The sequence below is a fragment of the Homo sapiens genome, chromosome 8 (genome assembly GCF_000001405.40).
Source record: "Homo sapiens chromosome 8, GRCh38.p14 Primary Assembly".
Lineage (NCBI taxonomy): Eukaryota > Metazoa > Chordata > Mammalia > Primates > Hominidae > Homo > Homo sapiens.
The window spans coordinates 120551416-120564822 of record NC_000008.11 but is presented as its reverse complement, the minus strand read 5'-3'; the positions used below and the strand labels follow the sequence as shown (position 1 = coordinate 120564822).

Here is a 13407-nt window from a genome sequence, read left to right as displayed (position 1 = left end):
GAGGCGGGTGGATCACCTGAGGTCAGGAGTTCGAGACCAGCCTGACCAACGTGGTGAAACCCCATCTCTACTAAAAATACAAAAAAATTAGCCAGGCATGGAGGCTCACACCTGTAATCCCAGCTACTTGGGAGGCTGAGGCAGGAGAATCACCTGAACCTGGGAGGCGGAGGTTGCAGTGAGCCGATATCACGCCATTGCACTCCAACCTGGGCAACAAGAGCAAAACTCTGTCTCAAAAAAAAAAAAAAAAAAAAACCAGAATAATAGTATCTATTGCAGGGCAGTTATGAAAATTAAAATATGATGAATGTATTAGCCATAACAAAATACTATAGACTGGGTGGCTTCAACAACAGGTATTTATTTTCTCACAATTCTAGAGGCTGGAAGCCCCAGATTAAGTGCCAGCATGATCAGTTTCTGGTGAGGACCATCTTCCTGGGACGGCTGCCCTATTTTAATGTTCTCAAATGACCTGTACTTTCTGCGTGCATGGAGGGAGAATGCAAGCTCTCTATTGTCTCTTAGCATTTTGAGGACGCTAATCCTATCATATCAGGGCCCCACATTTAGCTTTAACCAGCTCATCTTAGGCCCTATCTCAAATACAGTCACCTTGGAGGTTAGGGCTTCAACACATGAATTGGGTGGAAAGAGGCACAATGCCATTCAATGACCTATGTACATAATTCTTTTTTTTTTTTTTTGTTTGAGACAGAGTTTTGCTCTTATTGCCCAGGTTGGAGTGCAATGGCATAATATCTGCTCACTGCAACCTCCGCCTCCCAGGTTCAGGTGATTCTCCTGCCTCAGCCTCCCAAGTAGCTGAGATTACAGGTGTAAGCCTCCATGCCTGGCTAATTTTTTTGTATTTTTAGTAGAATGGGGTTTCACCATGTTGGTCAGACTGGTCTCGAACTGACCTCAAATGATCCACTCGCCTTGGCCTCCCAAAGTGCTGAGATTACAGACGTGAGCCACCATGCCCGGCCAGCCTTATTTTTCATAAACACACGTAGTAGGGCCAGGTGACTGTCAGTCCCCTTCTCTTCCCTGTAGCAGAGCTAGGGAGCTTCGTTCAGCACAAGAGGGAATGGCCAGGACTATAGCCAGTAGGAAACAGTTTTCTTCTAAATCAAGTTATGCCCTCAAAGAGTTCATAGTTGATGCATTTCTTTGCTTGGATTTTTCTTTTTAGGCCCAGGCACATCTAATTTATATTTTTCTGGAGGATGAAAATTTGATTGTGTTTCATAGAAGTGGCACCAGAAATGCTCACAACATGTTCCTGGTGTCGACTGCCATGCAGAGATGTTTACGAGCAGTCATCTCTCCTCTTCCACTGCCAAACTTCAATGGTGCCCCTATGAGTCCATTGGTGGTACAGTTTATAGCAGTGCGCTCAGGAAGTTTGCAAACAAGTTGTAATTTTAGCAATTCTCATTCCTCAGCTTTTTATGAGTCCTTGGGAGAACATTTTTTGCTTAGCCAAAGTTTATTTGATATTGCTGAACATTAAAAAAAAAAAAGGTATGCTCACTTGTATGGAGTAAGAGTGTTGGTTTTTTTGGTCACTGTCATCATAATTGGCAAATGAGATGGGTCTACAGAGAGTGAGGATTAAGGTCACATTATTTCTGGAGTTATAGAGGAGGTTTAACCCAGAAATTCTGCATACCCAGTCCCAGTGGCTGGTGGGGAGTTTCGGGAACACAGAGCTTGTAAAAAGGGCGACACTGCTCTGAGCCCAGTTTATTGTCCCATGGGCCTGAGGGAAGGGTGTGGGGTTGCCTTGAAAGGGGAATTGAAGAATGTGCACTTCTCTACTCCCAGATGGCTTGGGAACCAGGCATGCTGAATATTTCTGCTAAACCTGATGGGTAATCCTTGGTGCCTAAGCAACTAACCCGTTTCTTTTTCTTTTTCTTTTTCTTTTTCTTTTTTTGAGCGGTAGCAAGGGTTATTGTGAAGAGTGAAAGAACAAAGCTTCCACAGCGTGGAAGGGTGGATGGGGACCCAACCAGGTTGCCCACAATTAACCCGTTTCTAAGTGCTAAAAGTAGTAGCTGCCTCAGGCCAGCCTCAGAAATTTTAGGAATTCTTTTCACTAGAAAGTTTGGCCAATTGCATTTGTCAAACATTAAATTACAATCAGCCTGTGGTTTCCATGCTAACCCTGGGAGGCATCCTCACTGGTAGAAAATGTGGGGCATATTCTATGGGCATTGCCTGGGGTGACATGAAGAAATTTACATGCCCAATAATCTACATGCTGTCAAACTGAAAAGTGTGGGGTTTGCCTTCCACACCCAGCCATCCCATTTGTCCCCATATACCTAGTGATCTTCCAGTGTCTGGTCTCTGGCCCTCCCTTCTGCTAACCAGGAGCCCCTCAGGAGTGGTGGGTGGGATATAAGAAGAGTGAGGAGGTCCATGGACTTTGAAATCAGACAAACCAGGTATTGAATCCTGAGACTTCTACTTGCAATGCGCTCTTGGGCAAAATACCAGTCTCTCAGAATCAGAGTCTCCTCATCTGAACAAAGGGGGCGGTAGTATCTTCCATTTTATACAGTGATTGATAGGACTGATTGAGATAGCATATGTAAATATTAAGCATATGACTGAAACATAAGTGATTGATAAATGTTAGCAATTGTTAAAGACCAGAGAAAATAATTGAAATTAAAGTAAGTACTTTGACATATTTGACTCTGCATTTTATCTGGGAATCCCAGTGTCTTAAATCACAGTAATCGAGCTCTAAGGACTGAGGTTAATGAACTTGTTGGCTGTTTGGATGGGTTTGGGGAGGGTAGGATGGAGTCGGGAGACTGGAACTCCTTGGCACACACAACAGAGCTATCTCTAAATGCTATTTGTAACAGCTCCACAGACAGGAGGCCTGCAGATGCCTTCCTCTTTGGGGTAGGAATGTTCATTTCAGTTAGAGAAACTTGATAGGCTCCTATTAGTGGCCAACATAGTAGCCAGGGCTGATGGTAGGAGAATATCTGGAGGCGGTATGAAATAGAGGAAAAGCCGAGTGTTATAAGAGCTGATTGTTCAGGTTATTTGTTCATGGTTTCAATTTTCCATTAAAATAGGACTGATTTTAGTCATTACCATACATGGAGACATTTCTAAAGATCTTTTTATACTGTGTATTCTACACACACAATGGGACATACGTTGAACTAATTAAAGCACAGTTAGACAAGAGAATATATGAGTTAATTAAAAGATTCAAAAAATTATTTAAAAAGTATAGCTCCAAGACTGCTAAATAATTAAAAAAAAGTTAACTTCAAAGGAAAAATTTCCCAAGATGTTGGACTGTCATGACGTGAGAATATCCATCAGATTATAAGTCTTGTTTACCTCTGGAGAAGAGCAGCACAGGGATAAATTAAACCCATGGATGACCTGAAGTCTGCATTGTAATCTTTCCTTTCAAGTTTCTTTTTTTTCTTTTTTTCTTTTTTTTTTTTTTTTTTTTTGAGATGGAGTTTCACTCTGTCACCCAGGCTGGAGTGCAGTGGTGCAATCTCGGCTCACTCCAACCTCCGCCTCCTGGGTTCAAGCGATCCTCAGCCTCCTAAGTAGTTGGGATTACAGGCATGTGCTACCATGCCCGTCTAATTTTTGTATTTTAGTAGAGATGGGGTTTCACCATGTTGGTCAGGCTGGTCTTGAACTCCTGACCTCAAGTGATCCATTCATCTCAGCCTCCCCAAATGCTGGGATTACAGGCATGAGCCACTGCGCCCAGCCTCTTTCCCTTCTGTTTCCTTCCCCACCTATAGATGGTGAGCTGGAGCTTGGCCCTTTTTTTGTGTGATAGAAAGAGTATGGACTCTGTAGTCATATAGCCGTGGGTTCAAATTCTCGACACTAACTGTGGGATCCTAAGCAGTTATTTCACTGCAATAGAACCATGGATTCCTTGTTTATAAAGTGCAGCTCATAATACCACTTTCAAAGAAGCGTTGCGGCAATTAAACAAGATAATGCATCCACACAACCTTTCACCTGGTGAACATCCGCTTTTCTCTGTCCATAATACTACTGGCAGATGGTCGTGGCAGGTCACAAGGGCACAAAGAAAGGTATGGAGGACAGTCACTTGTCTCCAGAAATCTACCTGGATAATGCCACTGAATAGTCAGGAATTGACTCCAAGCTGTTTTGCTGCTTATTCACCTGTACTAAGTTGTTCGTTTCTTATAGTCAATATCCCTCAATATCAACTTTCTGAGACATGGGATCTTGCCTTTCACTACCATATTCAGATTAAAGGAGTTTATTTATTTATTTATTATTTATTTATTTATTTTGAGACGAAGTCTCGCTCTGTCGCCCAGGCTGGAGTGCAATGGCGCAATCTCGGCTCACTGCAACCTCTGCCTCCAGGGTTCAAGCGATTCTCCTACCTCAGCCTCCCGAGTAGCTGAGATCACAGGTGCCCGCCACCAAGCCTGACTAATTTTTGTATTTTTAGTAGAGACAGGGTTTCGCCATGTTGGCCAGGCTGGTCTCGAACTCCTGACTTCAGGTGATCTGCCTGACTCGGCCTCCCAAAGTGATGGGATTACACGCATGAGCCACCGCACCCGGCCCAGATGAAAGGAGGTTAGAAGATATAAATGAGGCAATTGATTGGCTACTCCTAGCTGGGGGAAATGATGCAGGGAGTTAGAGAGTGTTCCTGGGAAACCCCTCTCACCTGACAATTTGGTACTTGTTAGTGATTCTTTGACCCTCATTTCTTTCCTGAAGGGTCTCTTGACGCCCAGACTCCATTAGGGGTGGCCAGTGGATGAAAGTATTTGAGCTCGCCAGAACCATGTAAGCAATCTGGCCAGTTGTTTTTTTTTTCTTTTTTTTGTGGCTTGCATTGTGGCATCTGCTGGGAGATGCTAATTACAGCAATTAAGTAAAATGAGGATGTAATATTGCTTAGCAACCCAGTTACCTAATATGTAATTTTACTAATTTGGCTGAATCTGTGTGCTGTAACTGTTTGTGTTTTAATTAAGGATATTAATAATAATGCTTTTGTATGGAACATTTTATGCAACATTCTCTGATACTTCTCCAGAATTAAATTAATGCAAAAGCATTTCTTGAAAGACAGGTTTTTGGGGATTTTTTGTTTTGTTCAAAACTAGTCAGGCTAAGGGGGCATATTTGAAGATCCAGAAACAATATGCAATCTGATACCTCAGTAGTCAGTGGAGAGAGAAACACTTGGCCTGATGTCCTGCAGGAATGAGTTCCCCAATGTCATAAAGATTTGACCCACAAGTGGTCCTATCATGCAGCCAGTTTAAGCCTCATGGAATTCATCACATTGGGCATTTAAAGTAATTTAAAGACATTTTATAAATTATTTTTATCTTGCTTAGGGACGCATTTATGTACAAGTCTTCAAATTGGATCCATGCTGACCATGAATGTAAAATCTTAACAACTTTCACTTTTTCAAAAAATAGGCAACTTCTATCCCCCAGACCAAAAGAAGGTAACTCTACCTCCCTAAACAACCAAGTTACTACCGAAAACACCAGTCACTAAAGATAGATTCAAAAGAAGAAGCAGGAAATGGATGTTAGGCTGTTCTCATAAAACATCTAATCTCAGCTACCTTTCAAGATCACTTTTTTTCAGGGCTGAATTAATCTGGAAATTAGCATGTAGTGGACATAAACCCAAGTTCTTTGGATTTAGCATTAGTTACTGCTTTGTTTGGTTGAAGGGCTGAGAGTGGGAGAGGAGTCATGTAGTAGTCATTAATCACAAACTTCTTGGGAAATTGTTCTCTTTATATTCTAGTTATTCATTTAGTCATTCATTTAACAGATACTGAGTGCCTGCTATGTGCCTAGAACTGTTCTAGGTGCTAGGAATACAGCAGGGAATAATCAAATAAAAATTTCTACCTTGATCAAACTTATGTTCTAATGACAATAATGACTATTACTATGTATTCTGTGCCAAACACTGCTCCATGCAATATTCATTTATTAATTTATTTAATTTTCACAACACCACCATGAGGTGACCATATTATTATCCCCAGTTTGCAGTTGAGGAAGCTAAGGCATGGAGAGTTTAAGAAACTTGCCAAGGTCACATAATGAGTAGTAGAGCTGGGATTTGAATCCAGGTATCTGAATTTCTGCTTTACCTCCTCCTACCTATGGCTTCATTCTGTTGCCCCTCTCTGATATTATACGGTCCTATTTATTTTTTCACTTATTCACACCCCTGGCTAATAGGAAATGTAAAATCTTTCTGGGATTTGTAGCTTTGCTTCCAACCATGGGAATGTGTTTCTGAATTTTGTAACTAATCAATTTTGTGAAGAACAAAGCATGTCCTTGGGTTTCTCAAGCAGTTTCAGATAATACTTAGAAACTGGGTGTGAATTCAGCTTCAAATTCAGCTTCAAACCCCGTCCCAGGGTGCCAGTATTTTCTTCTGGCTGGGTAAGAAAGTTATCTTCTCTTGGGAGACAGCATTTTCTTGGTTACTATAGTATAGTTCTTGCCACATATAAGAGACAGATGGTCATATTTTTAAGGATACACACATAGCTTAAAATGTAAATTAATTGAAATATAAATAATAGCAATTTCAGAGTCCCCCTGAGACTGCAGATCAAGACAGATCATTGGGAAGAATCTTGGAAGGAATGTAAAAAGACTGTTCCTGGCAGAATGGGAAAAAGCCAGGCAGACAGGTTTTAGCCTTACCTTTTCAAATGTCCAAATGACGATTTGTGAAATCTCAATGTCCAGCTGACATTTACTTGGTATTTAGTTCCCAGAATCTGGCTACAGTAATGTGTTTCCAAGTATGATCTACAAATAAAGAGCACATTAGGAGGCCAATTCACTGGCCCTGAATGTCAGAATATTTCAGAATTGTGTTGTGTTGTGTGTTTGTGTATGTGTATACTTTCCTTTGCAAAACTGAATTCACATGTTAAAAACCTTTTGAAAAACATGTATTCATGCAGTTACCCAGCCAACATTTATTGAACACCTACCATGTGCTAGATTCCAGGGAGTTAAAGAGAGAGGAGACCAGGCTCCTACCCTGAAAGACAGCAAGGTCTAGTAAGAGAGATCAGGTGGTGATTATGAAACAGTAAGGTAAATGGATTGATAATGATGTGTGGGAATACAGAGGAGGGATGCCTATCTCCAGAAAGAGATCAAAGAGGAGATCAGATGGCAAATGGTCTTGAGCTCCAGTAGATCACTTTGCTGGCAACAGAAGTTTGTTTTCCCCAACATCTATCTTCTTACCCAGGAGCTGTCAACTCTGATACATAAGCAACAACCCCTACAGAGTAAGCACCCAAGAACCTCTGTTGGCTGCCAGCTTAGGCAACCTCAGACTTGCTGGAAGGGCACTTACTTCATCTTGGCTTCCAAGAAGCAAGACATCTGCTCCAAGTATGGTTTTCTCGCCTAGATTAGCCAAGGTCCAGAGATGGCTTTGATGGAAACACGGGCTTTTGAGGGGAGAATATTCTTAACATCCCTGGGGAAGTCAATATCTAACCCATGCTTGAACACTTCCACAGATAATGCAAACATTTATGCTTACCCTTTCCTCTTTTCCATTCCTCACACAAAATCTTCTCTTTTCCAGACAAACTCATGTTGTCTTTGGCATTGTTAGGAAACCTTTCCGTATATAGACCCTCAATTTCCAATCTAAATGACTATTTCTTTTGAATACTGTTTTGACTCCCTGTATAAACTTCCTCTCCTTTGCAGTAGACATGGCCCTTTGGGAATCCTGGTGTTACTTAACTTAGAACTCAAGTATTGGGTTCTTAAGATCTTAAAGGCCTTATGCAATATGACTGTAGCTTATCTGGAGTCTAATATGCCTGTGAGCCATCAGAGTGGAGATGATCAGTAAGCAGGCTGTTAGATAGACAGTATCCAACATTGTATATCCAGTATTATTTATTGGCTGGGAGTTGGTAATATGCCAATGCAAATTAATCTCAAGAGAAAGATTTCACAGAGCATTTATAAATTGAATTATTCCACTAGTTTTCTCTATTTCTTTCTGGAGGCGCTACTCCTATTGCCCTGCTGGCTCACATAACAAAAGAGAAAGGATCTTAATCTTATCTTGTCTGATGGCCTTGACTCATCTTTGCAATACCATAATATGTACAGCAATCAGCTGTCTGTTCAGTCACTATAAGGTAGTATAGTGATGAATGTCCACATTCCTATGTTTCATCCCCAACTTATTATTGTTGATAATCAGAAGCAATTCATTGGGAATGATATAAAGAATAAGTGAAATCTATTATTTCCAACACCTTAATAGGAATGAAATAACAAATATGTTGATAAATGTGAGATTCCTTCTTTGTCTTTGTGCCATAATCACTGATCTCCATTTTGCTTTTCCTGAAAGTTCAGATTCCCTCTCTGGAGGAAGATCTTTATAATGATCGGGTTGCTCCAGTGAGGAGGAATAATTCTCCACCCATCCACCCTACCAGGCTCATGTTCTTTGCTTGTCATCTACCAGAAGCGGGTTCCGACTCTCTTCCATAATCCAGCAATGAGTCTCCCCAAAACTGGAGCTTAACTTGGAGTAAACAGGCCATGGGAATTAGGAGGGGAGACAGTATTTCTCCTTTTAAGCTGTGTCTCCTTGAGGCTTAATCCATGCCTATTCTGTTCACACCGTACCTAGACTTGGGTTTGTGTAGAGTAGGTGCTTATTAGTCTACTAGAGGGGCCATAACAAAATACCACAGACTGGGTGGTGCCAACAACAGACATTTAGTTTTCACAGTTCTGGAGGCTGGAAGTCCAAGATCACGGTGCTGTCAGGATTGATTTCTGGTGAGGACTGTCTTCCTGGCTTGCGGATGGCTGCCCTCTTTCTGTGTCCTCACGTGGTCTTTCCTCTGTGAGTGCACGGGAGGGGGAGAGATTTTTGGCTTCTCTTCCTCTTCTTATAAGAACACGGTTCCGTTGGATTAATGCCCCACTCTTAGGACCCCCTCAGTTAACCTTTATTACCTCCTTGTAGGTCCTATTGCTATAGGGGTTAAGAAGGAATTATTTAGGCAGATAGCAAGGGCATGGGAGTCCTCAGTAAGGCTGTTCTTTTTAATGAAAAGCTGCCCCAAATCATTTTCTAACAAAGAGCAGCCTGTAAGTTGAACTGCAGACATAAACAAGCAAGCTGGGAGCTTTCAGGGGTGAATGCCGGCAGGAACTACGGACTAGACATTTTCAAGATGGCGGCTCTATCTTCCCTTCTCTGCCGGCCACGTGTACAGCAAGAAGCAGACAAGATGGCACAGATCAACTGGAAAGTCCATTTGCATAAGAAGATTAGGGTAGGGCAAGCAGCCCTTCCCTGCAGTATGTAAAAGTCATACCTGATGGAACCAATCTGTGAGTCCTGCCTAAATCAGACACCGCCTTCTCAAACCGGACTATAAAATTCAGCACATTGGCTGCCAACCGGTCCTTTCTGCTCGGAGACCCCTGTCTCTATAGAAGAAGCTGTTTCCCTTTCTCTTCTACCTATTAAACCTCCACTCCTAAACTCCTAGTGTATGTCCGTGTTCTAAATTTTCCTGGCGCGGGACAACCCCGGATATTCCTGGCGGGGATATACCCCAGGCAAGGTAGCCACTTCACCATTTCCAAATACTGTCATATTGGGCTTTGACATATGCATCTTATGAGGACACAATTCAGTCCATAACAGTGCTCCATAAATATTTGTTGAGTATATCACTTGGTGAATGAAGAAATCTTTATTGATTGATTGAATGAATGAATGAATTAGCGAGTGATTTTTGGTGTTCTTTTGTAAGGAAGGGAGAAAGGACTTGAACAAAGCAAGAAGCTTCTCTGTGACCTCTGAGAGTACCCCTGAGTCCAAAAAGATCCTATAACTTCAACTGGCGGGTCTCAGCATCTTTGCTATCTGCTTTGCTGGAGGCCAGTGTGTCAGTGTAAGGGATTAATGAGGCCACAGGTATAGGTTTCATCCCACGTGGATCAGTTAACTTTATTCTGAGAAGGGCTACTCCATAGCTATAGCCTGCGGGCATTAGGTGTTAGACTCGAAACACTTCTAATATTAAACAATGAAATAAATGTGTTTCTCATGCATTTAAGAAAGGTGAATAAAAACAAGTAAAATAATTATTTACCCAATTTTTGGTGACTCAGTGACAGCAGTCGTAGTGGTGGTGGTTTCATTAAAGAATTAATGTTTGCCGAGTGAAAACTATAAGGAGCACCCCCCGCCCACCACGCAGGTCAAAACCAATCACAGATGAGGCAGGCTCGCTGAGCGCTTTCAGTCAGCGCTCATTGTCCTACGTCTGGATGATTATTGTAGATGTCATGATTTTTTATACTAATTTGTATGCATTTCTTCACTCATTTTCCAACTCACTTATTCCAGTTCAGAGTCAAGGGTGGCCAGACGGAGCCTGTCCCAGCAGCTCAGGGCACAAAGCGGGAACCAACCCTAGACAGACGCTCACACCCACATTCACACTTACCCCAGGACCATGTAGAAACGCCTTGTCACCGAACGGGAACATCTTTGGGATGCAGGAGGAAACTGGAGATCCCAGAGAAAACTCAGGCACTCATGGGGAGAATGTGCCAACTCCACACAGGCAGTGGACCTCCCCGGGAATCGATTTCTTTTCTCACTAATGTCATAATAAAATGATGTTGAATGGAATGAAAATATTTAAGGACCTGATGTATATGTTTCTTATAGAATTTTTTTTTTCTTTGAGACGGAGTCTCGCTCTGTTCCCCAGGCTGGAGTCCAGTGGCACAATCTCAACTCACTGCAACCTCTGCCTCCTGGGTTCAAGCGATTCTCCTGCCTCAGCCTCCCGAGTAGCTGGGACTACAGGCACGTGCCACCACAACCGGCTAAGTTTTATATTTTTAGTAGAGACGTGGTTTCACCATATTAGTCAGGCTGGTCTCAAACGCCTAACTTCACGTGACCACCTGCCTCATCTTCCCAAAGTGCTGAGATTACATGCTTCAGCCACCCTGTCCAGCCTCTTAGAGAAAATTTTAAGAATTTTTTAAAAAGAAGAAATAAAATCAGCCATAAAATTGCTCTACATTTTAATGGTTTTGTTTTCAAGCTTTTCTTTAACATCCTTGAGTTACATTTACAGAGCTTTTCCAGAATATAGATGCATTTTCCCACATTTACACATAGTACTTATAATTTCAAGGTGTGTAATGCTGTATCCAGAGGACATGCACACACATGGATACAGCAGATAGCTCATGTATTTCACTTGAGTTTTATCTGGGAAAAGTATCCTTTTATTACAGCATACCCACCAGGTAGTGAAAAGACAATTTGCTTTATCTCAGAGTTTACATACAGTACTATACGTTTCATTAAGCCAATATCATCATATCCAAAAGGACACATAATTCAACATGTCTGCTGTTCCTCAGATGGCAAATCAAGGTTCTTTAATATAAATGTTAGAGAATTTACACTTGGTTAGTTGAAAAATCAATTTTCCTCTTCTCTGTTTTTATTAATCAATGAGAATTTTATGATGAGATGAATAATACAGAACACCAACAGTCCTTCCTGTAAAACAGGAGTCCCCAAGACCCAGGCCATGGACCTGTAGCGGTCTGTGGCCTGTTAGGAATGGGACTGCACAGCAGGAGGTGAGCAGCTAGCAAGCAAAGCTTCATCTGTATTTACAGCGCTCCCCATTGCTCGCATTACCGCCTGAGCTCTGCCTCCTGTCAGATCAGCTGCAGCGTTAGATTCTCGCAAGAGTTCTAACTCTATTGCTCCTTATGAGAATCTAATGCCTGATGATTCTCATAAGGCATCATCACCCCCAGATGGGACCATCTAGTTGCAGTAAAACAAGCGCAGGGCTCCCACTGATTCTACATTATGGTGAGTTGTATAATTATTTCATTATATATTACAATGTAATAATAATAGCAATAAAGTGCACAATAAATGTAATGCGCTTGAATCATCCCAAAACCATCTCCCACCAATCCCCAATTCCCCATCTCATCCCAAAAGGTGGGGAAACCAGTCCCTGGTGCCAAAAAGATTGGCACTGCTGCTCTAAAAGCTTCCTTTGGCCGGGTGCAGCGGCTCATGCCTGTAATCCCAGCACTTTGGGAGGCCAAGGCAGGCAGGAGTTCAAGACCAGCCTGGCCAACATGGCAAAACCCCATCTCTACTAAAAATACAAAAATTAACAGGGTGTGGTGGTGCACACCTGTAATCCCAGCTACTCGGGAGGCTGAGACAGAGAATCGCTTGAACCCAGGAGGTGGAGGTTGCAGTGAGCTGAGATCACACCACTGCACTCCAGCCTGGGTGACTCTGTCTAAATAAATAAATAAAAGCCTTCTTCATTATTACTTCTCGAACACACTGGACTTCCCCATTAAGCTCTCCCTGTTCAGGGTATTGGTCAGCTTGGTTCCAGGTTTTCTTAGACCTCATTCCTTTCTCTTAGTAATTCCATTCCTCATACCCTGAGCTACCAAATGTGTATTTTCTAACAAATTGCATTTTCCCAGTTATTATTTACTTCAATTTTATAGTCTCTCTGGAGAAAAATAAATATTGGTAGGAAATTCACAGAAACTCCTAAGATTCTCCATGAGAGTGGCATATCTTTTTCTCACTTTGCTTCTGCCTCTACAATATATTTATGCTGGCTCTGGATCGTGACAGAGTTGATGTCCTCTGGATGGAAATTTAGGGTATGGAAAATGAGAGCATGTTAGGCCAGGGAAGGAGGAAGGGAACCAGTTTTTATTGAATGCTGACTATAATGTACTAAATACTGAACAAAGTGCTCTGTATATTTTACTATATTTAATCCTAATCCTATGGGGTAGGTATTATATTTTTAAAATGAGGAAACTAAGGGTAGGTGTAAGAATGGAGCACAAACCATATGCTAGTTTCTGTGATAGGTACAGTGCATTGGTTGTTTAATCTTCACAACACAACCTTACTTTTTTTTTTTTTTTTTTTTTTTTGAGATGGAGTCTCACTCTGTCGCTCAGGCTGGAGTGCAGTGGTGCGATCTTGGCTCACTGCAACCTCTGCCTCCCGGGTTCAAGCAATTCTCCTGCTTCAGCCTCCCAAGTAGCTGGGATTACAGGCACATGCCAGCATGCCCAGCTGATTTTTTGCATTTTTAGTAGAGATAGGGTTTCACTGTGTTAGCCAGGATGGTCACGACCTTACTTTTTAAGAAGTAGTGATTCTTAAAAAGTTTAACAAATGTCAGACAAAATGGGGTTCTAATACAGCTTTGTATGCCTCCCAAACCATGTCCTTTTTCAG

At 41.9% G+C, this 13407-nt stretch overlaps 1 protein-coding gene across 3 annotated transcripts in view, besides 1 other annotated feature; it reads left to right on the top strand.

Moving 5' to 3' along the window:
• SNTB1 (syntrophin beta 1) overlaps positions 1 to 13407 on the top strand; it is a 276291-nt gene that overhangs the window by 247224 nt on the left and 15660 nt on the right. The gene's annotated exons all lie outside the window — the stretch shown is intronic.
• Positions 8541 to 9740: an enhancer, noted in NCBI's record as "CDK7 strongly-dependent group 2 enhancer chr8:121567323-121568522 (GRCh37/hg19 assembly coordinates)". NCBI's record gives its function as "activates an origin of replication core promoter dependent on BRD2, BRD4, P300/CBP, MED14 and CDK7 cofactors, with strong dependence on CDK7, by STARR-seq in HCT116 cells {active_cell/tissue: HCT116}" and the evidence as "EXISTENCE:reporter gene assay evidence [ECO:0000049][PMID:35650434]".